The sequence below is a fragment of the Homo sapiens genome, chromosome 14, assembly GCF_000001405.40.
Source record: "Homo sapiens chromosome 14, GRCh38.p14 Primary Assembly".
Lineage (NCBI taxonomy): Eukaryota > Metazoa > Chordata > Mammalia > Primates > Hominidae > Homo > Homo sapiens.
The window spans coordinates 81792215-81820181 of record NC_000014.9 but is presented as its reverse complement, the minus strand read 5'-3'; the positions used below and the strand labels follow the sequence as shown (position 1 = coordinate 81820181).

General features: G+C 39.3%; 2 long non-coding RNA genes across 5 annotated transcripts in view; one reads left to right on the top strand and one right to left on the bottom strand.

Annotated features, from left to right (window-relative positions):
* LOC107984704 (uncharacterized) overlaps window positions 1–27967 on the bottom strand; it is a 336950-nt gene that overhangs the window by 253965 nt on the left and 55018 nt on the right. The gene's annotated exons all lie outside the window — the stretch shown is intronic.
* On the top strand, window positions 99–8707 carry LOC105370598 (uncharacterized). The gene is made up of 4 exons (XR_944083.2): window positions 99–222; window positions 1912–2048; window positions 3798–3876; window positions 8229–8707. It is a non-coding gene; the product is annotated as an uncharacterized LOC105370598 (long non-coding RNA).

The window sequence follows — 27967 nt, the reverse complement described above, 5'->3', positions numbered from 1 at the left end:
AAGGTGGTTAGCTCATGAAGATGGAGGGTGGGAGTAATGCCAATATAAAAGGGCAAATTCAAATTTTTGCCTTGGCTCCTCTGCTTTTTGCCACGTGAGGATCCAGTGCTCCTCCTCTCTAGAGGATGTAGCATGTAAGGCACTATCTTGGAAGAAAAGAATGGCCTCACCAGACCCAAACCTGCCAGAGCCTTGATCTTAGACTTCCCAGTCTCCAGAACTGTAAGCCAATACACTTGTTTTTTATAAATTACCCAGTCTCAGGTATGCAGCACAAAACAGACTAAGGCTCATAGCTACAAAAATCCAAGTGTGGGGAAGCTGAATAAAAGGTGGTGTGATGGGACACTGGGCCAGAGAACATTTTATCATGAGTCCTCAGTATCCCCTATCCTCAGTTGGGTAGGTGCTATCAAGGAGGGGTTGTGTGCAAGCTCAGGCTGAAGATGGGCCATAGTTTAGTAATGTGATAGAAGGAGGGAAACTTAACCTAAAGTTGGTTTAACCAACAGATGGTTTTGATTGATTAGTGCAGGCAGAGCAATTCAGCTAATCATTTACGTGGTGAAGAACGGGAATTTAGAGGGTTTATGTCTGGCCTTGTCAAAGGTAAACAAGGCATGTTTTCATGAGTCTTATCTAAGTCATACGGGAAAGGGTGGTTCTTTGCACTAAGCCCTTTCTGGGAACACAAAGAATGAGAGGATTTGTCACACTTTGCTCTTTTCTAAGAGCACAGGGCTCAGGTCAAATTTAAGATTGTCGATAGAGTAATTATAGAGATAATAGGGCTGTTTGTTTAAAATCAGATCATCGCAGAAAAATCCAGTTTGAATACAATTTCTTTTAGTGTTTGGGCATGGTGTTGTGGCTCTTCAGTAACTGGACATTTATTTTATAAAAATAGAAGTCCACAACATAGAACCTTTCCAGGATGCCGTTAGAATACTGCATTAATCCAACAAAGCCCTCAATTTGAATATATTATAGTGTAAAAAGTAATTGTCATGGTAAAGAAACCTCTCATTTATGACCAATTTGGTAAATATTAAGAGCCTATGATGTGTATCCAGCTTATTACTTACATTTTTATGAAGACAAATTCCACCACTACTCATTTTTCAGGCCCAACTTTTCAGTTAAAAAAAATAGTTTAAAGAGCTAGTTCAAGTAATCCTACAATAAATTTAGAAAGGAATTTTGTGAAGAAAAACTGTTCCTTTTTCTAAGTCTATCTTCATCTAGGTTGGCTTTATATGAGTTGTACCAAGTGATATTTCTTAGCTGTTGGATAAAAATATTCTGTTATCTTCCAAAAAATCCTGTTAGAGAATACTACAGCCACAGGGGCATGGGAAACAATATACAGAATTCAAGTGATAAAAAATTAATTACAACTTAATCCCTAAAATTCTTTGCAACCTATACACATAATGTACTGAGCCAACATAATAAGCAGTATACATTTAGATAATCCATTTTTAAATATTACTTCTAAACTATAATCTCCGTCAATTATGGAACAAGAATAAAGCATCATTTAGCATGTAACAATGGAAGGGTGAACTGGCTGGGTTGCATGTTAAGAAAGCAAGTCCCCCAAGTAAAGGCTTTGGAAGGGCCCTCCTGCCTCTTCACCTACCCCCTAATTATGTTTCTCCTTCTTCTCTCTCCACCCACCACCCAGAATTCTTTGAAAAGAACTAAAGCTCTTATTTACTGAGTTGCCAGAGTGTTAATCATGTCTAATGGCTTTAACACAAAAGCAGCCAACCTTTAAATGTGCTACTTAAAGACTCTTAATGCCTTGCTTCCTTTTATTCATTTGGGCTTCTCCTCCTATCCCAAATTCAGTTGTGATTCTAGTAAATCTTCCTCCCTCGACTAAAATCAGCACTTCTTATTTTCAAGGTCCTGGGTTGGGGTGACAGGAGAAATACGGAGAAGGAACAGCAACAGTTCAGAGAATATTGGCTTCACGAGGACACCTTCTTGATCTCTATGTCCTTTATACAGTCACCACCATTTAACATGATGCCTGACCCATGGTAGGTACTCAGTCAATATTTAGGAAGTAGGACAGCAGGATGGGGAAGGAAAGAAGGAAGGAAGGAGGGAGGGAAGAAAGGAAGAAGGAAGGAAGGAGGGAGGGAAGAAAGGAAGAAGGAAGGAAGGAGGGAGGGAAGAAAGGAAGGAAGAAGGAAGGAAGGAGGGAGGGATGGAGAGGGGGAGGACGGGAAGGAAGGGAGAAGAAAAGAAATAGTACTCCTTATTAAGAGGCTTGCCCACCTTCTTGGGGGACATTTACCACAGAGGTTGAGTATATGCCAAACAATAGGACATAAAGACATTGGGTGGGAGGGGAGTTCACTCACATTCTCTATTTTCCTCCTGCTCTATATATGTTTTCCCTTTCAAAAAGGAGCCAAGGATAGATACGTGATGGTTGGTTTCAGGACACACAAAAGAAGTCAGCTCTGGAAGCCTCTGCTGCCTAGCTGGCCTAAGAATTAATTGTTCTCTCCTCAAGTTCAGGATCCGTTAGTGTCGTGATGCAAAGATATAGGCCTCAGGCTCCTTTCTCTGAATTCAAGTACTATGATCGATCCTCCCTGGCTAGAGACAGTAAAGCAACAAAGGTGTAAAGAGAGCTGGGGTGCAGCTGTGTGTTCGCCACAAACACTAGAAAACACCTATGGGTCACTGGTTTCATTTTCCATCCTGCATAATTTTCTGAGAAGCTATGGAGTAATCAGTAATTACTTAGAATACAGTCGCCAGAGTTAATTTTTCCTCCTCCAACTGTGTCAAAAAATAAGGGGACTGAACCAGTAAGTGGGTTGTATCAGGAGGCATAAAACAAGACTTAGCACTTTACTTAGGCATTATTTTTTCAGAACGCTTGATCACTTACCAATACATTTTCCCACAAACATCCTGAGGAGATTGGTCTGGTCACTTTGCTAATCCCTCAAGTCTATTAGCAGGAAAACAGAGGTTGAGGGCATGTGGCATCTGAGATTTGTCACAACTAGGCAGTTAAAGACTGACTTAACCTCTACTTCACATAGGAAAGTCACATCGGAGGGAGTCCAGGGTGGCATGACATTCTCCACAGTCAAAACTGCCAAGCAGGGTATGATTATTGCCCCTTGTTGGCAATCTGTGAATTTCTGAGGATAAAACATTCAGTTCCCACAACTGTTTCACAGTTAACATATTGTGGGATGACTCCTGGTTTTCTTGTCACAAGAATTAATTATTTATAAAAAAATGTGGAATATAAACTCAGATGTAGGAATAAACTTATGCCATTATAGACATGGATTTGCCTACACATGCTTAAATGATTCTATGTGTTCCTATGTACATACGCACACGTCTTATAAGACATGCCCATCTAGCAACCTAGGCTACAAAGTCAAAGATGTGGATGTAAGCCACGTTTCCCAATATAACCCTGTGTAAAACTTTTCCAGTTCTTATTATATCAGAGCCCTGGTAAAGCAATAATTTCTCTTTATAACACTCTGTGGCTCCAATCTTTAAATAATTTATGTAAGAAACGTGTACCTGTAGTAAGCATTAATTTCTTATTAACATCTTGTACTCTTCTAATTGAAGATATTTCTCTAACTCTCAAGACTGTATCCAGCCCCTGAAATCTTAGGAATTTATCTCTGCAAATTGAAAGAATGAAGAGCGGGGGCCGATTCCTTTTGGTAGAATTCAGCCATCTGTGGCTGAAATAGTTTTCTTCCTGAGTACCGTGCCTGATGTTAACATTTTTGTTCTAGGAAGCCTGAAGAGGAGCAGAAAGTAGAAATATCTGTATATACCAAGAAAAGCAGATTTTAAACATCTTCAGTAATAGAGGTAATGTCATGATGAGAGCCTTGCTAAAAAATTTTAAAAATCTGACTATACAATCACAAAGAATTCCAGTAATCAAATGAGAGGCTTCTGAATAAACGTGCTGTTCATAAAAGGTCCAGCATTCTAGAATTGTGTTGAACAACACCTTTATTCAGAAGCTTTTCAGTTTTAATAGCCACACATGGCTATTTAAAGTTTAATTAAAATTAATCAAATTTAAAATTCACTCTCTCAGTTGCTCTAGTTATATTTCAAGTGCTCAATAGCTATGTGTTACCAGTGGCTGCTGTGCTGGACGACAGAGTAATAGAACATTTTCAACATCATAAAAAGTTCTATTTGTACAGTTCCAGCCAATGGGGATTTTCTAGAACTACTTAGAAATCTGAGTGCACCATAAAAAATTAAATAAATTTCCAGTCCACAATAAGTTAAATCACGATGTTAAATGAACCTTGAGTTATGATTATGAAGTTACTGCCTAAAGATGTTCAGAAGGCAAAAATCACTACATGAAAATAAAAATTCAAAATTAGAAAAGATTCTAGAAATGACAGACTAATGAATTTTTTTTTTTTTTTTGAGACAGCATCTCTGTCACCCAGGCTGGAGTGTGGTGGTACAATCTCTGCTCACTGCAACCTCCGCCTCCCAGGTTCAAGCGATTCTCCTGCCTCAGCCTCCCGAGTAGCTGGGATTACAGGCACATGTCACCATGCCCAGCTAATTTTTGTACTTTTAGTAGAGACAGGGTTTTGCCATGTTGACCAGACTGTTCTTGAGCTCCTGACCTCAGGTGATCTGCCCGCCTCGGCCTCTCAAAGTGCTGGGATTACAGGTGTGAGCCACCGCACCAGGCCAGACTAATGAAATTAATATGTTTTGCTTGCACACCAATAGAGTAAATGATACACATGTGGCATTGGTGTACACATAAAGATGAAAATGTAATGATTCTTAGGTATAAGAATAGGCTTATTCCAACAAAATACACATATTTTTCCTTTTCATAAGAAAATTTTTAAAACAATGCTGTAGTCACACCATATCCAGACTTCAGCAAGGCTTTTACAAAAGCTTCTAGGACATCCTTGTTGGCAAAATGAGGAAATATTTGCTGACTAATAACACTGTCACAACTTTTCGCAAAGAACAGGACAATGAAACCTAAATAATATTGATTAAAGTGTCTACGTCTGTCTGGAAGGAGGTCCAAATGGCAGACTCATGGATCTAGTTCTTGGTTCCACCCTATTCAGTGACTTTATCTAACACTTAGATTAAGACATACATGTCATACTTATCAGATGAAAGATGACAGAAATTTTCACTGGAGAAGAGAATCAAGCCATAAGTGATTCTTAAGGGATTGAACAAAAAAAAAAGACAAAAATTAACATGATAAAATTTAGCAGAAATAAAAGCCAAGCACTCCATTTAGTATTTTGGGATACTGGATACTTCTTCAATTTGTATCACTATGTCAAGTGAGGTTCAGGAGGTCAAATCCTAAAGGCCCTAGTTGACCTTGCCCTCTCTGTAGGCCATGAATACCAGCTTCATTCTATTAATCAAGTTGTAACTAGAGGAAACTACAGCAGCATAATCAGGAGAAATTATAGTCACCCCAAATTACCTAGGATTCAGACAGAGGGACAGCCAGAGTCTTATAGCCTAGACAGGAGGGAAAGGCAGCACCCCAGGTGGAAAGATGCCTGGGCAAGCCCTCTTTGAGGCCTCCAGGCTTTGCGTCCTGTGCTAAGTCTTTCCTGGTCTCTCCATATTATTTCCTCTAAAATAATTTCATCATAGTCTTAACTCCCTTGATATCACCACATTTCCCTTTAAAATCATTGTAAAGTCATTCATTTAAGAGAATATTGCTTCCCCTGTTCCCTTTCTCTTCTGGAAGTTATATTTAAAGGAAACATAGCAGACCTGGGGTAGATCTTGAGAAAGGTGACTGAAGAATAAAAGATTCAGAAAATATCTTTTTTCCTCAATTAAATTCAGCACAAAGCATAGGAAGAAAGAGAAGAGAAATACATACAAATTAATATGCTAATTAACATGATATAAATTCTAAATGCAAGAAGCAAATAAAGTGCTTTGGAATTGTTGTTTGTGTAAGAAATGGAGATTTTTATTCAGCCTCTAGAAAAGACTGATAGAGGACATGATAGTGAGCTTCAGCTATTTTGAGCGCAATTATAAGAAAGATAAATTTAATCTAATCTGCGTTACTCAAGAGGATAGAACGAGGGCCACTGGGTAAAAGTTATAGGAAGCATATTTCAACTCAACAGAAAGAAGGATTTCCTAATAATTAGCTCTGTCCTAAAGTGAAATGAGATCCCTCAATAGGGCAATCATCTCTCTCAGTGGGGTGTTCAAAACATGCCATATGTCCATGGCACTTAGAAAAGATTCCTGCTACTGGCAGGAGATTGAACCAGATGACCTCTAAGAGCCTTCTGACTTCTGAAATTCTATTACTCTGTTTCTTACTTGCTCTCACCTGCACTGATTCCACTTGATGGATAACTAGGGAGTGGTCAGTCTACCCAGTACAGGAACATAAATGAGACTTTCCGCTGTTCTCTGCCCCCTCACTGTCTCTAGGCAAGATAATGTGGCTACCCCCTCAAAAGCTGCAATGTGTGGGAGTTCATGATGTATTTGATTATTTCTGTGTCTTAGAATTATTTGGTTTTATACAAATGACTTAGTTTGTCTCACTTTCCCTCCTTCCTTGGATATAACACATCACATTTGTTTAACCCTTTTCTAAATATTAAATGTACAGTTAAAAGCACAAGGAGCACATATAATACAAAATATAGAGCAAACTAAGGTGCATGTGGCAATTTGGAAGTTCAAACTGATTCAAACAAACATTTGTAGAGTAATTGCTTGGGTATGTTCAATTACTTGTAAATTATCTTTATTTTTTTAAATGATACCTAATTAAGGATTTAGCTGAGTGCTCAGGATTCTTACCATAGTGTTTTGAGATGCTATTTCATTAAAAATAATCATTAACACCTACTATTTATAAGGCTTATTGCTAATCACTACAGAAAACACAAAGATGAATAAGATAAAGCCCCTGTCATAAAAAAGCTTACTGTCTAATGGTATACAAAATAATTGAAGCAAGACAGAATACGAGTGCCTCCATAAAGTTACACAGTTCTTTGGAGAGAAAATTTGTATCTGGCCAGGGAAAATCAAAGCCAACTTCATCAAAGAAGAGGGTAAAAATCCACACCATGAAGGGCCACTCATCCTGATCCGGGAATAATCTATTTTTTGTTTTGTGTTGTTTTTGTTTTTGTTTGTTTTTGTTTTTTTGTTTTTCCTCAGTGGATGTAGGGAAGTCAGTGAAGGAATTTGTACAGGAGAGTCTCATAATAGAAATTTTATTTAAGGAATATGAATCTAGCAGCCATGGGTAAACTATTTAGAGAGTTGGAGGGATAAGCCTGTTGGTCCTAGATAAAGGGAAGCAACCAGGCCTACACACTACATGATGGAAGTGAGAGTGTAAGGGAGTAGCTAAACTGAAGATGTCATGCAGGTCAGTCGGTAGCATCTGGAAATTAATAGGAAGTGGTGGAGAAGTCTGTGAACTCAAAATGGAGAGGGTGGATTGAGAGAAATCCCAGGTGTCATGGGCTTGAATAAACAGGAAGAACTTTTTGAGTGGGGTAAACAAATGGAAAATAAAAGAGGTATGCAGATGGAAAGGACAATTTTGGAAAACAAGAACCAAACTGATGTGACGCATATTAATCTAATATAGTGCTTCATCTGGGTGGTTTTAGTAAAGATGGCAATCATTACAACTGAGGGGTTAGGGACTTGGTTGAAAGCTAAATTGCCAAGTATAAAAACAGAATATCAAGTTAACTGGGTGGGAAATGGAAAGGAGAGAGTTATGTGCAGAAGAAGACAGAAATCCAACCATTAGGTAAGTTGGAGAGAATATATGAGACTAGATGTGTTAACTGCGTTTTTTTTATTATTATTATTATTTGTATTTTCTTTCACATTCGGGCCTTACTGATCCTTGAGAGTCTGCTCCTCCCTGGGTGAGCCAATTCCTAAAAATAGTAAAGGACTCGCCTGCAACTGTCTTTCACATGCAAACCAACAAATCAGGAGCCCAAACCCCTCAGCTATTTTCTTTATCGGGCTCTTATACTCTGGACCACAAGCCACTGGCTCTAATCACCCCAGGGCCAGGGACCAGGCAACTAGGGACAGCCCCATACTCCAGAGTCTGTTGAAATTATTCAGACTAGCCATTTCTAAACTGTTAACTCTGCCTTATTTGTTTCTTTCCACAGAAACACCAATAATGGCACGTGACTGTGTTCTCCCCTCACTCCTTCTGTCTCCTGACCGCAGTGCCTCCCTGTGTGGCACTACATGGCATGACCTCCCTATCCTCTCGAGAATTACAAATAACAAACTGTCTTTTCAATAGTCTGAATAATAACCAAACCTACATTTTAAAACACTAGAGATGACTAAAATGAGAAAAGAGAGAAGTGGCTAGCAAGGACGTCAAAAAAGGCATAATTCTGAATGAAGACATTCAACTAAACGCAGATACCACAGCTTTTCAGGAATTTTGGGAAAGTCATTTTTTAATAAAGGATTTGTCTATTGAGCAGTGCAAGTAAGGTTGAACTGAATGTTGCAAGGAATATACCAAATCCTGACTTGATCCCTAAAGTTCTAGGAAACACCAAGGGATTGTAAGAAGAAGTTACCAGATATTTTTCTGGTATTTATTTGCCATGGGGGTAATTTGAAATTTAAATTAAACCTGAGGCCAGGCGTAATGGCTTACGCCTGTAATCCCAGCTCTTGGGGAGGCTGAGGTGGGTGGATCACTTGAGGTCAGGAGTTCAAGATCAGCCTGGCCAACATGGTGAAACCCTGTCTCTACTAAAAATACAAAAATTAGCTGGGCATGGTGACGTGTGCCTGTAATCGCAGCCATTCGGGAGGCTGAGGCAGGAGAATCACTTGAACCTGGGAGGCAGAGGCTGCAGTGAGCCAAGATCACGTAATTGCACTCCAGCCAGTCTCAAAAATTAATTAATTAATTAATTAAACCTTGGTAGACAATTAACAATGTGTAGAGGTTAAATAAGATTTAACCCTGGAGAGAATTACCAGGAACAGGAAATTGTGAGAGGAAAATTTCGTTTCATTCGTGATGACCAGGTGGAAGAGTTGCTGAAGTGGGTTTCTAAATGACACAATGGTAGAGTGAAAAAGGGTGGCAGATGCTGCTGCATCAGTAGGATGAGAGTACAGAAAAAGCTGTGTATGGAGAGAGATGGAGGGGGAAGGGTTGGTGCCTGTGTTTTAACCATCAATAAGAGGAGTTATAGAAGAAAGAAGTTCACAGTGCTGCAGGAAAAATACCAAGTAAGCAGAGTTTCAACCCCGGAAAAATGTGTAGGACTAGTAGAGTCTCTGTGGTTCCAAACGGGCCTCCCCTAATGACAGGCTAGGACCAAGGGGAATATTTGCTGACATCTCTAATTCAAGTAAATCCACAAAATGACTCATTTATAACGTGGGTACAATCTGTGCTTAGTGGCAACCATAGTTAGGAATGGAGGAGTTGAACTTGTGGAAAACATAAAAGACATTACAAAGTCACCAGATATTTGTCTGCTGTTTATTTACCATGTGGGGGCGATTTGATGTTTAAATTAAAGCTCAGTAGAAGCTTCAAGTATGATGCCATAGGGATGTAGTTAACTTAGAGAATTTTTGTTTTTAATCTCTAAAAGGGAAAAATAAAATTTTCATGAAGAGTAGCCTTCTCCCCTGCTCAGCCCCTCTTCTATCTCCAAAATGTAACCTACATTAAAAAAGAAAGTAATATATCAGAATATTATAAAATGGCTATTATTAGAAGGGAATAACCAAGAGCAAGATAGATCAGAAGTGCCAATTGGATCATGAGGTGGGAAGGGTTTGAGGTATTAAGTAGGATACTCAGGGAAAGCTTCACTGAGAAGGGAAGATCTAAAGAAATAATTATTTGGTGAAGGTGTGAGCCAAGTAGGTATAAGGAAGAAGCACTTTCTAGATGCCAGACACTGTGCTGAATGCTTCATAGGCATGATCTAATTTTTACCCCTATAAAACATTTGAAAATCTAGCAACAATTATTGATCACTCTACAGATTAGGAAATTCACCAAAAAATCAGGGGATAACCAGCTTTCCCAAGCTCGCATAGCTATTAAGGGACAGAATTGGGGTATGGACCCAGGCAGTTTGACTATTAAAACCGATCCTCCTTTAAAAACTCCTTATCTCCCCTTAAGCTCAAAACTAAAGTTTAGCCCCCGTCAGCCCTGCTACATGGAAGAAACCCTAGGAAAGAGAGTGCTGGAGAGTTGGTTACAGGAGTGTTTTGCTATGTCAGTTTACAACTTCTTCCATGAGAAAGGGGAAGAAAGTCCTGAGCACCAGGAAGAGAGCCTCATACCCAGGCTCATAACCCTCAGTGCACGGTGACACCAGCCCTGCAAATGTGGCCCACTTGGGTTCCTGGGACCCAACATTCAGATTAAGGGGCTCTTTTTTCCCTGGGAGGAGGCAGACACAAGGTGAATTTAAGTGAGGACTTCTTAAACCCTCAGAATATCCCACTTCCTTGACTCTAAGGTGCTGCCCCATTCATCCATTCCACAATGACTGAGACTGAGACTATACCAGGCTCCAGCTGCACATAACAGATATGACTCTTGCTCCTGTGGTGCTTCCAGTCCACTAGAGAAGGGAAAGGTGAGGAAGTAATAATCTGATGAAGGGGCAGAAAATCAGAAGAGAAATTGTAAGGAATGTATTTACAGCTTCTGGAGGCAGGGAATATTACCACCTACACAAGAATTGGAAAACAACTTCTAAGTTCAGCAACTTTAAGCTGAAAAACTCTACCTTAAAGGAGAGAAATTATGGACTTAACATTTTCAAAATATCCAGGGGTAGAATCTGAATGCAATAAATGGCCTGTAAATTCATTGCCCTGAGTGGCCACACTGTGCATTTATCCTAGCCCTCAAGGAAGATGTTGTCTTGTAGTAGAAAGAACTGGGATGCAGACCTGGTTCTCTAAACCTGTGTCAAGCTCCCCAGAGGGCTGGACTTGCCAAGTGGGAATGGGGAAGCTGCTTGACTTCTCAACATCAGTTTGCTCTTCTGTAAGGTAAGGTTAATGAGATCTTCACTCCTAGTCATCTATGAGGGACAAATTAGAGCAAGGATTTGCAAGTTCCTTAAGCTAATATTTCCTAAATACCACAATGCATCAGGTACTGAGTTGGGCACAGATATGCAATTATTGGTCCATTCTTCATTGCTATAAAGACATGCCTGAGGCTGAGTAACTTAGAAAGAAGAGGTTTATTTGGCTTACAGTTCTGTAGGCTGTACAGGCATGGTGATAGCATCTGCTTCTAGTGAGGCCTCAGGAAGCTTACAGTTATGTCAGAAGGCAGAGAGGGAGCTGGCATGTCACATGGTGAGAGGAGGAGTAAGAAAGAGGAAGCAAGAGAAAGAAAGGAGAAGCCTCAGGAAGCTTACAGTTATGACAGAAGGCAAAGAGGGAGCTGGCATGTCACATGGTGAGAGAGGGAGCAAGAGAGAGAAAGGAGGAAGTAGAAGGCTCTTTTTAGCAACCAGAGCTCAAGTGAAAGCATTACCACAGGAAGGGCACCAAGCCATTCATGAAGGATCTGCCCCCATGATCCAAACATCTCCCACCAAGCACCACCTCCAACACTGAGGATCACATTTCAACACAAGATTTGGACGGGACATATATCCAAACTCCATCATGCACATATTAACTTTAAGAGAAAGACAGAGCAAAAGAGAGAGGGGCCTTTATCAGGCATTTGAGTATTTCTTAATTATATTGCAGAGTTTCAAAAGAAATTTTTTGCCAAGTGGATGGTTCACTGGTTAGTTGGTATACACAAAAAAGGGAGTGTTGTGGCCGGGCGCAGTGGCTCACGCCTGTAATCCCAGAACTTTGGGAGGCCGAGGCTGGCGGATCACGAGGTCAGGAGATCCAGACCATCCTGGCTAACACAGTGAAACCCCGTCTCTACTAAAAATACAAAAAAATTAGCCGGGCACGGTGGTGGTCGTCTGTAGTCCCAGCTACTCGGGAGGCTGAGGCAGGAGAATGGCATGAACCTGGGAGGTGGAGCTTGCAGTGAGCTGAGATCACACCACTGAACTCCAGCCTGGGCAACAGAGCGAGACTCCGTCTCAAAAAAAAAAAAAAAAAAAAAAAAAGAGTGTTGTTTTGTTTTTATTTAAAATAGTGATAACTGAAATATCAGGGAGAAGAAATGGCAGGATTCTGAAATGTAGTCAAGGAAAGGTAACTGACTACCTTAGGATGTACTTGAGACCAGCCCTTGAACATAAATGTATGGGTATATCTCAGAGAGTGTCAGAGGTAATAGATGGTGATGGTAAGATAGTAATCAACATCAAACAGCCAAGAATACTCTTACTAAACTGGGGTAGGCAGAATGCCACCCCTGCAAGACGTCCTGCCCTAATCCCTGAAGCCTGTGAATATGTTACACTATATGGAAAAAGGGATTTTGTAGACATGGGATTACTAATCAGTTGACTTTAAGATAGGAACATTATACTGGATTATCCAGTGAGCCTAATATAATTACATGAGCTCTTAAAAATCAATGTTTACTCCTTGCTGAGGACAGAGAGATGTGACCAGAGAGGAAGTGGAAGACATTCAAGGCATGAGAAAGACTCACTGTGCCGCTTGTTTTATGATGGAGAAGGCATTGTGAGGAGGCATGCAGGAGGCCTTTGGGACTTGAGAAATGTTTCTCTCGTACAACCAGCAAGGAAATGGGAATCTCAGTTCTATGACCACACGGAACTGAATTTCGATAAAAACCTGAATGACTTTAAAGGCAAATTATCCCAGAACAAATGGAAAGGAAGGTAGCCCTGCTGATATATTTGATTTCGGCCTTAAGAGATTCTGAGGAAAGGACCCAACTGAGCCATGCTATACCCAGAATGCTGACATACAGATATAATAGATGATGATATAATAGATGGATGATATAATAGATGGTGATATAATAGATGGATGATGTTTTAAGCTGCTAAAGTTATGGCAATTCATTACAGTGGCAATAGAAAATTAATATATAAATCATCATAGGGTTGTGGCAAATCCTACAATTCTCTGTTGTTATGTAGTCTTAGGCTTATTCAGGAAATGTGTAACTTTGGACAAGTCACTTTACCTCTCTCTAAGCATAGGTTTAGGATATTAAGCTCCCAGCCATATATTCTATTCCTTAAAGAAGACATAGTTTCACTATTAGAATTAAATCAGTTGTGATATAAGAAAATGACTGGTGTATCATAATTTTTTTTAATTAAGAAAAATCCATAGTTTATTCAGATTTCCTTAGTTTTTACTGAATGTTCTTTTTTCTGTTGCAGGATTCCATCCAGAATGCCACATTACATTTAGTTGTCATGACTTTTTAAACTCCTTTTGACGGTGATAGTTTGTCCAACTTGCCTTATTTTTGAAGACTTTGACAGTTTTGAGGAGAGCTGGTCAGGTTTTGTAGGATGTCTCTCAGGAATTTGTCTGATGTTTTTCTCATGATTAGACTGGATTTTATAGGTTTGGGAGAGGAAGATCACAGAGGTAAAATGTCATTCTCATCACATCATATCAAGGGTTCATGCTATCAATATGATTTATGACTGTTGATGTTGACCTTGATTTTCTAGCTGAAATGATTTTCAGGTTTCTCTACTGTGTAGTCGTTTTTTCTCCTCCTTTCTATACAGTACTCTTTGGAAGGAAATCACAATGTGAAGTTCACACTTAAAGAATAGAGAGTTATGCTTCACCTCCTTAAGGAAAGGGCATTTACATAAATTATTTGAAATTCTTCTTCCCAAGGGGTTTCATCACAAACTTTTAACATATTTAGTTCACTTTTAGTTCTCAGAAACCTCCAAATTCTTATTTTATAATATCATCTTCTTTCCTCTGAATATAAATCAGAACAAGTGATGCAATTAGAAAAAAACATCACTTCATAGAAAAGTTTCAAGGAAATTATTTTTAAAAATGATCATGGAAAAATTGTCATCAAAGGTGGAGAATTTATAATCTCTCCCAAGAATGGGGCATTGTGTTGTACTGACAACACAGTCTGTAACACATTTTCAGATGACCTCAGTTCAGTCATTATCTTTCTCCCAACAAAAGCATATTTGATTCAGTTCAAGGTTTTGAGAGAAGGTCACACAATTCTCTTTCACTCTCGCTAAACCTGTTTCCCATGCTTAGATGGCAGAGATACGAGATCACAGTCTTCAGCTTTGAAAAGCAAAGTCTCAAGAGTGCTTCAATATCATGTACTTTTTTATATAAGCAGCATGACAAAGAACATCTACAGCATTTAATTATCTCTATATATTACTGTAGACTACAGTGACAATACAGCACAACTGTAATAACTGAGAAGAAAAAGTAAAAGTAAAGTTAGAGCTGGATGGACAGAAGAAATCAACCTCCCAATTACAGTGCAGCATGGAGTACTGACTGACCTTCTTGCTGGTATCAAAGTGTCAAGCTGCATATCTAAGCCACTAGTGGGAAAGCAAAATGCAGAAATTTCAACAGAGAGGCTGCCTCTACAGTATTTCCAACTCTTTCTAATAGCAGGAAAGCCAGAAATGCTGGAAGACTTTCTCTGCCTACAAAATTGGAGAGGTTTGCCAGCTTCAGCAACATCTTAGAGGAACATCTGTGCTTCAAAGGTTCAGCTGAGCAGAACTTCCTATCAGTGCCATCATTACCCATGGCCATTCAGAGCAATATTGAGTGCTGACAGCCACTCAGATTTTCCCGCCATAAGGGAAAAATCAAATTAAGCTAGGGGCAGAGGACAGGAAAGGGAAGAGAAGTATCAAATACTTTTTATAGAACATGTAATATAAACAATCCCGAAGCCCACGTATAAGAAATTCTAAATCAAGAGTTTGTTCTAACGATGAAAATCCGTCCATGGAAGGGGAAAGAGAAAAGAAAGATTCGAAACTCCATGAAACTGACATTCCCAATTTTTCCTCAGAATTATCTAGCCACCTGTCCTCTTAGTTGTTTCCAAGATAAGTAAGAAATATCTTTGAAGCTTAACTATACTTGTTAGTCCCAAGGGCTCAGGATTTGGTATTAATTTAACCCGTGAATATCATGTTATTTGTACCAGGGCTTCCTTCACAATAGTTATATCCCTTTAGGCCCTGGGATAATTTAAAAGACCAAAGTAGGTCTTGTTTACTCACTCACCGTTATTAACCTACAGTGAGGTGAGTGAGGGACAGCAAGGCATTTGAGAAACAGGCATTGGGGCATTCCATGCCTACCTCAAAGGTCTACAACATTTTTCTCATGATATATAGATACTACAAGAAATGTCTTTCCCAGCACAGAATATTTTAATTATCTTTCCATTCCTGCTGTCTTCCAAGAAAGGAATATAATTACCCACATCTTATGACATGTAGGGGGAGTGGAGAGTATCATAGAGAAGAATGGGATCAATTGGTGATTTGCCACTATGAACTCTTCTTTTTGTCCTAGAAAGTTACTTTCAAACCCATCAGGTGCTCCTGATATCTTTTGACACTCATCCATAATAATAATACAAATAATAACATAAGACCTTGAAATTACTACTTCACAGTGCTGTGCTAAACACAGTGCACATGTTAATTCACTTTACCTTCACACAACAATATGACAAAAAATCACTATTGCTATTGTTTTACAAATGAAGAAAATGAGGCATAAAGGGTAAGGCAACTTGCTCAAGGTTAAAAAACTAGTAAGTGAAGGGCTAGGTTTCCACTTTGGAAATCTGGCACAAGAGTCCATGTTCTTAGTCATCAAACTATTATTTCCCATGAGCCAGGCTCATTGATCGTCAGATTTGAGGGTCTTTGCTCACATGGATTCTACACATTGAGTATTAGAAAAAAGCTAATATATGACAACATGGGTAAACATATTTGGAGAGGCTATAACCTGACACCATTATGCTTAATTGGAGAAGCCAGAATTCCAACTGGAGACACCCTAAGTCATCAAAGAAAGATAAATGATTGTTAAACAAACATCTGACTTGAACAGAGCCACATTTGAACATGGCCATTCTAAATTTTATCTGTCAAATTTTATTTTTTTATGCACATTGCCACTTTTGTGGTTCCAAAATAAAGCTGGATTCCATTTATACGTGTCCAGAAGACAAGAAACATTTTTCCAGACTATATATTGCTGAGAGAGAGGCAACCATATCTGTTAGGCAAAGTAAAGCTATTAACAAGAAGTATACAGTAAAATCAATAAACCAGAGGGGTTTGCAGTTGGTGACTTGTGTCTGTAGATAAACCAAGGGTCCACCTAAAAGGGAGCCACCCAAGGGTTGTTGAAACCAGTGCGCACATTCATGGAGTCTAAAGGTGAGTTTTCTAATCATCATTTGGACAATGAATAAATCTTGGGATGGGAGATGTCAGAGAAAGGACAGGGTCATCCTGCCTGCTCAGTTTTCTCTGTGTAGCAAGTCAGACTTTTGCTTTGCTTTCGATTTTCTTTAAAACAGAAAGTCCTACCATTGCACTCAATTCTGACAAAAGGGATCTTTTAAATCTTGCCTCCAGGTTCTGTCCTTGACCTTCCATCTCTCTGAGGTGCCCTTCCCCACACTGAGTCCAAGCTCAAATATCAATCAGTGGGTGGTAAACAGAAAATGAGACCAGGGGCCTTGAGAAGTGGATTATTTTAATAAGAAAAACCCTGAGCACATTTGTAGACAGATGGAAGCTGGGTTCCACAAGTTAGAAGAGAGAAGAAGATCAAAAAAGTAAGCAAGGTAGAAGTTGTCTGCAATTCAAGTCACAAAAGAAGAAGGAAGAGTTAGTCTTGGAAAGGAGAAGATGAGATTACTATAATCCTGGGGTGAAGACCTACAAGGGATTAAACAACTTTGAGAAATCTGGATACCCACTGACCTCCCACAGCCACTTCCAAGAAAAAGACATTTTCTCACCTTGCTTATGGGAATAGAAATGTGAGGTTGAGAAGAAAACACTCATTCCTGCCTCAGAGGTATAAAGATGAAAATTATGCCGAATTAAATCAGGTTGTTGAAAATGCTCATATAAAAAGCTTCCTATGCTTGATTTGAAATGCCAAATGTAATTCCTGAAAATGAAAGCATAAACATACACTCAAAAAAAGATAAATGTGTTGTAGATGCTATTTGATATGAGACAAGGGTGGGAAAGAGACAATGAAGAAGCAAGACTTGTAAGCACCCTACTCATTCATTTTCTGGATGGGTCAGAAAATCTGAATTGGCCCTGTAGACCTGTGAATATTTTCAAGTAAGAGAGGCACGTTACTTGAATTTGTTTAAAGCATTTACCCTAAGCACACAGCCCTGTAGACCTGTGAATATTTTCAAGTAAGAGAGGCAAGTTACTTGAATTTGTTTAAAGCATTTATCCTAAGCACCTGGTATATCTTAAGGGGTAAAACTGCACACTTTCACAGAACGGAAAATTCTGACCTTAGCAATATGTGATGTCCCAGTGGATATGAGGATTAAGTGTCTGAACAGGCCGTTAGAATACAGCAGGGAACTTAACAATCACCACTGAGGCATGAAATGTGAGAGGAATAACAAAAGCATGTTCAGGTTATAAAAGGCAGCATTAAATGTTTGCTGATGTGATCATAAGAGCTGAAGTTTTATCCATGACACACTCTATATGCATAAGAGAAAAGTAAGGATGAGACTGGGTACTGAGTATCAACACTGCTAAAACAGGAGCCAAAGAGAATGAAGAGACAGAGGTGTAATATGCTGAACACAAAAAAAGCAGCAATGTTGAGATCCACTTGATAACAATCGGAGAGAACCCAGACAGAACTTGAGGATTTGTAAGGCTAGAAAAGAACAAAATGAAACTGCCAGAAGGGAATGTTTTCATCTGCCAACACAAAGCAGAACAATGGGAAAAATGGCAGGCATGCTACGGTTTTATAAAACAGATGCTGCTTCTGGTTTCTGGCCCATGTCCCTGACTGGATTCAGTTCTAAAATACATCATGCAATTCGCCAATGCGGGAGTCTGGATGGCGGACACCCCAGAGCCTTCTAGGAACTGTATAGCTCAGTGAGAAAGAGAAAGGAAGAGAGATCAACACTACACAGTCAGGTTGTTAATGCCAATGAAGGAGAAAACTTGAAGTTCCTGGATCCTCTTCCACACTGTTCAGTTCTCACCTAGTCACTAGGGCTCTTGTGGTCTTTGTTTCTTCATCATGGAGGGAGAGGTTTGGTAATGGGTTCTTACTGTACCCAAACTCTACCAAGGTATAGAAAAAGTGTGTATAATCAGCCATTTTAATCCTTGTTAAAGCAGACAATATAAAAGGTTAAATAACCCCAGGAATCCCACTTGAAAAGTGTGCATTATAAGATTTTAAGAGTAAGCAAAAATAATGGCTTTAGTCCTGGTCTCAGGATGTAGAGACCATGCAAGTCAAAGGAAGCCAAATTTGATAATGTAAAAATGAAAGCACTTCAGAAAATAGCTTTGCTACAAAATTCTCAGTGGCAGTCCAGGCTTCAGATAAATACTTAATCTTTTGGGAAATTCATCCCAGTGGTAAATCTAAAACAGTTGATGTTCATACCCATTGAGACTAGATAGAAAAGAAAAGGCTGGGGAATCACATAATGTTTTTGTATCTGATAGGATACTTTCATTGCAAGCAACAGAAACAAATGTGGCTAGCTTAAGCAAAAAGGAAATTTATCAGAAGGATCTTGATGAGAAGGCAGAAACCAGGCTTAAAATTTGGCAGTTCCAGGTATCTAAGCAGCAGAAATTTCTCAAAGAGCCTCTGCCACTGAAATAGTTGCATACAATCATTTTTCCCACCTTGTGTTGCTTTACTCAATATTCCCAGTCCCAGAGAGAGTCTGTTGAGGTTAGCTTGGGTCACATGTGTGCCCTTCTGATAGAGAAAAGTGGAGCCATCTTGGCTTACAATCCTTCTAAGAACAGTCCATTAAAGAGAGAGAGTTTTATAGAAGGATATCAGAAATTGTTATAAAAGGGTGATGGATATTGGGAGTGAAACAAACAAAAGCAAACACCTGACTCAATTTTTTTTTAATCTTGACGTAAGAATTTTAATGCAAAACCAATTATGAGCTATTGTGACAGATACATATAAAGAGAGAGTAAGGCAAACCCACTGTGATTTTATGTGTCCACTTGACTAGACTGTAGGGTACCGAAACACTGGTGGAGAATTATTCTGGTTGGGTCTGTGAGGGTGGTTCTGGATGAGATTAACATTTGAATCCATAGACTGAGTAAAGTAGATTACCCTCCCCAGCATGGGTGGGCCTCCCCTAGTCGCTGAGGGCCTGAAAAAAAAAAAAGAAAATGCTGGCCTTCCCATAAGTTAGACAGAACTCCTCCTGCCCAACTGTCTTGGGCTGGGACATCAGTTCCTCCCTGCCTTTGGATTTGAACTGAAACACTGGCTCTTTCTGGGTCTCAAGCCTGACAGCATTCAGAGTAGAACTACATCATTAACTTTCCTGGGTCACCAGCATACCAGCAGCAGATCTTGGGATATCTCAGTCTTCATAACTGTATGAGCCAATTCCTTATAATACATACTTGCCTCTCTCTATCTCCCCCTTTCTCCCTCCAGATAGATAGATAGATAGATAGATAGATAGATAGATAGATAGATAGATAGATAGATAGATAGATAGACAGACAGACAGATAGACAGACAGACAGACAGACGGACAGACAGATAGATCTCCTATTGGTTCTGTTCTTCTGGAAAACCCTAATACACTCACCTCTCCAAAGTAAGGATATTAAAGTACACGTTTTTCCTCCCCTGCTGTACTTAAAGTAGCTTACCTCGTTCTATAGTCATTTCACTAATGCTGTATATCATTTGTCTTTCTGTAGTCTAATGAAGTAGGCACCAGACTTATAATTGGAAAACTAATTTGAAGTTCTAGCTTTGACATAATTTAATCTTGGGAAAATTGGAAAAACTTTTAACCTTCAGTTTTCTCATCTGCCAGATTTGGACAATAACACCTTTAAAGCATAACGGTTTTGGGGAATAAATGACAAAACTAATGGAAAAGTATCCAGCTGACACCTAGTAAACAGTAGGTATTTAATTAATGTTTATTACATCTAATATAAAGTATAAATCAGGGCAGGGTCCATGTCATCTATTTTCTTGTCTACACTCCCCAAAGTGCTGAGCACAGGAGACACTTAATAAATAATTGTGAGTGTATTAGTCTGTTCTCACACTGCTAATAAAGACATACCCAAGACTGGGTAATTTATAAAGAAAAAGAGGTTTAATGGACTCACAGTTCCACATGGCTGGGGAAGCCTCACAATCATGGCAGAAGATGAAGGAAGAGCAAACAGAAATCTTACATGGGGGCAGGCAAGAGAGCTTATACAGAGGAACTCCCCTTTATAAAACCATCAGATTTCGTGAGACTTATTATCACGAGAACAGCATGGGGAAAACCCACCCTCACAATTCAATTACCTTCCACCAGGTCCCTCCCCATGACATGTAGTGACTATGGGAGCTACAATTCAAGATAAGATTTGGGTGGGGACACAGCCAAACCATATCAGTGAGTAACAGTGAAATATACTGATAGAAATGCTTTATTATACACACTCCTATGTGCATGGAATAAAAAATGCGAATTAATGGAATCAACCAAATAATATCAACCACTACCACACAGCATGTGATTGCAGCACAGACATGAGCAATTGGACAAGACAACTACAGTCTTCTAGAAAGAGAAATTCAACACCCTGCTGATAAAACTGTGATCTTCAAGATAAATGGCAGGGCTGATACTATGTGTGTGGATGTGTGTTACAAGAGATTTTCTATCATCCTCAAATAATCAAAATTGAAGTCAAAGCTGGTCATTTCTTAAATGTTATTGACATAAGCTCTAGTGAGCATGCCATATTTTACAATCACCACTAAAGATCATTTCTCAATGAAAAATAATCTGCTAACAATTGAGAAAATTAATATTTGTCTCAAATCCCAAGATTTTAAGGATCAACTATTCTAGTGTAATCCTAACTATTCCTTTGAATTGTGTTTACACAACCTGAAAATAAACAGGTTTTTTTGATGTCAAATAACAGAATTGATAGAATTAATTGGTTATGTTGGCATTGTGAGGACACAGCCACAGAGAAAGATGCAGAGCACTAACTCCTGATCCCAATATTATATATTCTAATGTCTAGCAAAATCAGTTAAAAGGAAAAGCTCATTGGAATAAAAAATAAAAGTGTAAAGTATCAGTATAAATTCCTTAATATTCCAATCCCATCATTTTGGGAAAACTGAGACTCATAAAGAATATGAAAATTTCCAATTTTTACAGGACTAGTTTTGAAGATGATCCAGATTATCTGACTCTTTCTTTCACCAAATATCACTTAAGTATCATCTTGTATCAGACATTATTCTAAATGCTAAAGATGCAGACAGAAAAGGACAGTGCTCTCATAAAACTTATGTTACCATAAGTAAACAAATAAATAAAAGACACATCCAGATAATAAAGAGTGCTATAAATATAAATACTATTTGGAAATATCTAGAAAATAAAGAGTGCTATAAAGATAAAAATCTGGCTAGACACAGTGGCTCACGTCTGTAATCCCAGCACTTTGGGAGGCCGAGACAGGAGGATCACTTGAGGTCAGGAGTTTGAGACCAGCCTGGCCAACACGGTGAAACCCCGTCTCTACTAAAAAATATGAAAATTAGCCAGGCAGTAGTGGTGTGTGCCTGTAATCCCAGCTACTTGGGAGGCTGAGGTGGGGTAATCTCTTGAGCCTGGAAGGTGAAGGTTGCAGTGAGCCAAGATCAGGCCATTGCACTCCAGTCTGGGCAAGACAGTGAGACCCTGTTAAAAAAAAAAAAAAAAAGTGCCAGAGAGTAATGTGGGTACCTCTTTAGAGGGAATTTTCAGCTAAAACCTCTCCAAGAAAGCAACATTTAGCTGAATCAATGATCACAAAGAACCAGTCTTATGCATACTTGAAGAAAATACGTTCCAGGCAAAGGAACAGCAGATGCAAAGTCCCTGGAATGGCACACATCTGATAGAATTGAGGGACAAAGAGAAACCAGTGTGGCTAGAGAGTATGCATAAGAGGAAAAGTGGCATAAGACTGAGGTGTTTATAGCCATAATGAGAAACAGGGATTTTATTTGAAAAGCAAAGCATATTCCCAGTCTAGTGTTCTCAAAGTCCATTTTCATGAAGCTGAACTTTTTCTGGCAACAAATGGCTCCACTTCTGCAAAAATAACTAAAATGCAGGTTTGGCTCCTTTGCTGTAGGGTTTCATTTATCTGTAACATGAGGCTGTTCAGTAAGCCAAATGGTTCCATAAAACAGATTTTCTTGGATGGCCCAATCCATTTAACCTACGGAAGGTGTGCCATTTGTTTCCCCTGAGCTAATGCAAAGTTGTAAGTCCAACTTGGACATTATGTAGTTGTCTGGGAAGGGAAAGCCCAGCCAGTAAGTAATGATGGATGGCTTGCCTCTGAGGAGTATACTTCCTCAATGAATCTGTATCAGCAGCGCTGGGCCTTCCAGCTTCTTCCCTGGAACAGGGGCCAACTTCAGAGGCTCCTTAGAGGCAAGAAACATTTTTGCTCACATTTTTTTCCTCCCTGAGAAACACAGAGAGGCAGCTCTGTTTTAGATCAAGCCTTCAATCCAAGGCTTGCCTGCATGCTATATTGGAAGGTAAATGAAACAAGTGAAAATTGTTTTGACTTACACCCAATGGAGTTCGAAACTCATTCAAGCATTCAGTGAGTCATTGAGGCAAGTGGTGATCATAGGAATGGCCAAAATAAGATGCTATCACAGGTCATTTTCATTTTGCCCCTCTAGTAGTTATTTGTTATAGCAAATAGGACCCATTTATATGTGCAGTTTTCTACTAGCCTCCCATCTGGTTTAATTCCTCCACAACATCAATTCCATCTCTAGATGAGGATCTATTTTATAAATCTTTATCCCATCTATCTCTGCCAAGCAAAAGGAAGAGAGAAATTAGAAAATCACGAAGCACAGGTCTTGGTCTTGATCTCGATGTGAGAAAACAGGCCTTTCCTTTGTAGCCATATTTGTTCTGCAAAACTTAATTATCAAACTCACAAGGTCTCAGAAGTAAATCAGACACTGAACAAAAATAATAATCATTCCAGGGAACACTAATTATAAAACAATGTTCCATGGAAGAGAACAATAATAATAACAAAGTATCACTTATTTAGGCACTTATTTAGTGCCAGCCACCATATTATAAGTGCACTAAATATATTCTTTTATATATTCCTCAATATGACCCTCTGAAATGGGTGACCTAGAAAGGGACAGAAATGCAATTCTGGTCTTTATGACTGCAAAGCATATACTCTTAACCCAAACTGGAAGATATGTTAGTTATAAACTCTTTGCCGGAAGTGAAAAGTTAATGCTATGTTAGATGAATTAAAAAGTGATCCTCCTTCTCTGCGTTACCTCCTATATTGGGATCAGAAAACTACAGCCTGCTGGCCAAATCCAGCCCACAACCTGATTTTGTAAATAAAGCTTTATTAGAACACGGCCTTACCCATTAGTTTATATGTGTTCTATATAGCTGTTTATATAGCTGTTTTAATGCTACAACAGCAGAGCTTAATAGAGAACATCTGGCCTGCAAAGTATAAAATAATTATTATCTTGCCCGTACAGTCAATGTTTGCTGTAGGATTTCATAAAACTAAAACTAAAGATACAGACAGAAAACTGTGTGGGACAAAAAACCCCTGCCCCATATCTCCAGTAATTCTCTTCACATGAAGATTTAGCTTTTCTCTGTCCTGGGGTATCCCTGCCATAAACAAATTGCTAAACAAAATGGACATTTTGCATGGTGTAGTTAATGCTGTTGATGCCCTTGGCAAGATATGTTTACCTGATAGTAGTGTCTTCATCCTCCGACTGTTCTGAGTCTGACTAATAGCAGCTCACAAATGCTTTCTTCTCATGAGAACCCCCCTTAGCAACCTGAGTGGAGCCACCCCTAGAAAATGCTTGAGAGGTTTTGTTCTCCTTCCAGGGGTAGCCCATCGCCAACGATGAATGGATATTAGAATAACAGAATATAAATTGCTAGCTCTTCCTTGCCTCAAAGTAGGACAAGCCTGTGGTGCCAAAATCCAGAGATTCCTGGGGAATCAGGCAGAGCTTTCTCCCCACGGTCTCCTGCTCTCTTGCTTCTTTCATTTCTTTACGGGTTTCACCTGGGAGCCCTTCCTCACCAAGTTCCTTGCTGAAGAATCCCAGCTGTAGATTCCACTTCTTAATTGCCTGCTTAATACACCTGGTGATTACATAGGAGAAGTATTTGGTTATTTTTTGTTATACTTTAAGTTCTGGGGTACATGTGCAGAACGTGGAGGTTTGTTACATAGGCATACATGTGCCATGGTGGTTTGCTGCACCCATCAACCCATCATCTACATTAGGTATTTCTCCTAATTCCATCCCACCCCACGACAGGCAGTGATGTTCCCCTCCCTGTGTCCGTGTGTAGGAGAAGTATTTATTATGTCTATACATAATTTAAGAGAAATGCATGGAGATATGATGTGTATTATGCAATGGAGTTGGGAAGGAAGAGATGGAAGGAAGGAGATGTGGCCTAGTGCTATCCTACTGTAAGTTGGTGCAATCCTCTATTTCTTTCCTTTCCCCACCAGGAACATTAACTGTCACCCCTAGGACAGCACATTTTCTGGCTCCAGGCTTGATGACCATAGACTCCAAAAGAAGCTTTCATCAGGTTGACTACATTGACAGATGCTGCAAGCTTTGTCAGGTTACCCCCAGTCAGCAGCAGGCTCAGAAATAGAGGCAAATGACAACTGAACATAAAAAAAAATGGTCCACTTAAAAATGTATTTTGTATCTGCTTCCCAGCCTGACGTGCCTCCTGCCATGTCGACCTCAGAAACTTACTGGGGTGAAGAACATAAGTACAATTTTCTTCTTTAAATCAGTGCACAACTTCTCATACACTTTTTAGCTAAATTATGTTCCTTGCTCTGTTCTTTTGCTTAGATTTCTATAAGACTTAAAAAAAAACCTCCTTGGGGTCTCTCTCTCCAGCCACATTCCACCCCACTGCACCCCATGAGATACCGTCCTCTCCTTCCAACATATTCACACACCCCGGTATCCACAAATCATTGGAATGTCTGTTAATAAACACCCTGAAGCATTCTCTTTAGCTGAACAATTAAGAAAAATTTCTAAGAAACTGAACCATGTGTGACCTAAATTGGCTTTCAAAATGCTTTTTAGAGCTGAGGGAGCAGCATTTGCAGCATAATCGCCTTCCACCTTGACATTAATTATGCACCATGATGTTTAGAGAGCAACTCCGAGCCAGGAATATAAGTGTTTGTAAGGTAAACATGTCAAGCAAAACAGAACATTGTAAAATGAAGAAAATATTAAATCCAATGCTGTTATGATCCATTTCTCTACTCTTTTCTTGGTGGTTTTTCCTCATAAATCTTCTACATTCACCTACAAAGGACTGGCATTTCCTTCCTCAATAAGCGATAAGGTGACTCAACAATACTTATAGTTTGGATTTCTTGAAAGAGAAAAAGAAAAAAGAAGGTGCTTTTTTCCACTTTGTGGTTGAAAATAAAAAGGGCTTGCTGATTTAAAGAGCTGCACAGCCTTGGGTAGCCTTTAGAAAGCACTCTGTATAGGAACAATTCTGTTTCTATACAACCATGTGAACTGTAATTTCATTCCCCTTTCTTCATTATCAATGACATTTGCATGACAGCAGGGCCCTAACAGTTCCTGAGTTTACCTATTCCTAATCCTTATTTCTTCCTTTAGCATCATTAGCCCTTGTAGGTGGCATCTTTATTAATTGTTACACATAAAGCTTCAATGTCACAAAGGATCCCAGGTTTAGCAAGATACTTAATGAAAATATTCCACTAATTATAAGGAAAAAAGCCCCAAGACAGTATCCAAAATATTCAAAAGATTCCAGTAGTTTTCAAAATATTTTAGCATCTCTTCAACTAAATCTTATGACAAATTAAAAAAACAAACAAGGGTCAGGCACAGTGGCTCATGCCTGTAATCCCAGCACTTTGGGAGGCCGAGGCGGGTGGATCACAAGGTCAGGAGTTCAAGACCAGCCTGACAAACATGGTGAAACCCTGTCTCTACTAAAAATACAAAAATTAGCAGGCATGGTGGTGCGCAACTGTAATCCCAGGTAATTGGGAGGCTGACACAGAGAATTGCTTGAACCCAGGAGGTGGAGGTTGCAGTGAGCCTACATCGCACCACTGCACTCCAGCATGGGTGACAGAGTGAGACTCCATCTCAAAATAAAACAAAACCAACAACAACAACAACAACAAAAACAGGACAGGCACAGTGGCTCAAGCCTGTAATCCCAGCACTTTGGGAAGCCAAGGGTGGCAGATCACTTGAGCCCAGGAGTTTGAGACCAGCCTGAGGAAAATGGCAAAACCCCATTTCTACAAGAAATAACAAAAAAGTAGCCAGGCATGGTTGCAGGCCCCTGTAGTCCAAGCTACTTGAAAGGCTGAGGTGGGAGGCTCACCTGAGCATGGGAGGTTAAGGCTGCCGTGAGCTGTGATCATCCCACTGCATACCAGCCTGGGAGAGAGTGTGAGACCCTATCTCTCTCTCTAAAAAAAAAAAAAAAAAAGTGGAGAAGTGGAGCAGCCCAGCTAAGACAGACGCTACCCACTGTACACACATCCATTCCCCATGGGTGATTGTGTGAACAACTTCAAGGAACTCTCAGGGTGCTTGCCAAGCTCAGTTTGGAAACCAATGATTTAAACCACACACAATATATTGTTGTCTTCTGGATGAAGTATTTATGCTCACTGACAATAGGCCCATTAACTTTCCTTTTAAAACCATTCTACAGAAAATCATCTCCATCTAATAAGATTTCACTCACTGGATGACAGTTGAAATACACTTTTATGGGAAATATTGCCTTTATGTCTTTAGACATACCCATTGATAAAACATCTCCACCAGGAATCTCAAGTTGGTAGAACCTGTGAACACACTGGAAGATTATAGCATTGAAGAAAAGAAAAAGCATCAAGGAAGGACTTATTGTTGTGAAACCCACAAAACTCTTTAAAAAGTCATAGCTCTCTACAGGTGAAAATATTTACATTTCCTTTGGAAATAAAATACATTTCCTTAGGAAGGAAATTAGCAAGTGCCTGAGACTTGTGAATGATAATTGGAGCTAACCAGAGGTTTTACAGTGACTGAAAAGGGTAATTCTATAAAACTCAAGAGTAGAGTAAGATACAGGAAGATGATTTACTCAGTAAGAGATAGACCATTTCATATGAAATTCAAAGGAGCTAAGACAATGTTTAGCTAGGAAAGAAAGAATGTAGAAATTGAATTGCATTTGTATATTTGAAATTCCACTAAGTAAGAGAAGAAGTAGCCTTGTTTTGTGTTGCCCCAAGAGGAAAATGAGTGGAGTTTACAAAAGGCCAGATTTTACACTAACATAAAAAAGGCTTTCAAACTACAGTTGCCAGGTGATAAAACAGACAAACTTGAGAAGTAATAAGCTTCTAATACTAGAAGCATAAAAGTAGAAACTGAAAGACCTGATGGGGATTCTTAAACAGATCTGTTGTTGGGTTTACAAGACCTTAAAAGTCCTTACCAATACTCAATACAGGTATTCTAATTTGATTGCATTAATTACTAGCAGAAGTCAAAACAC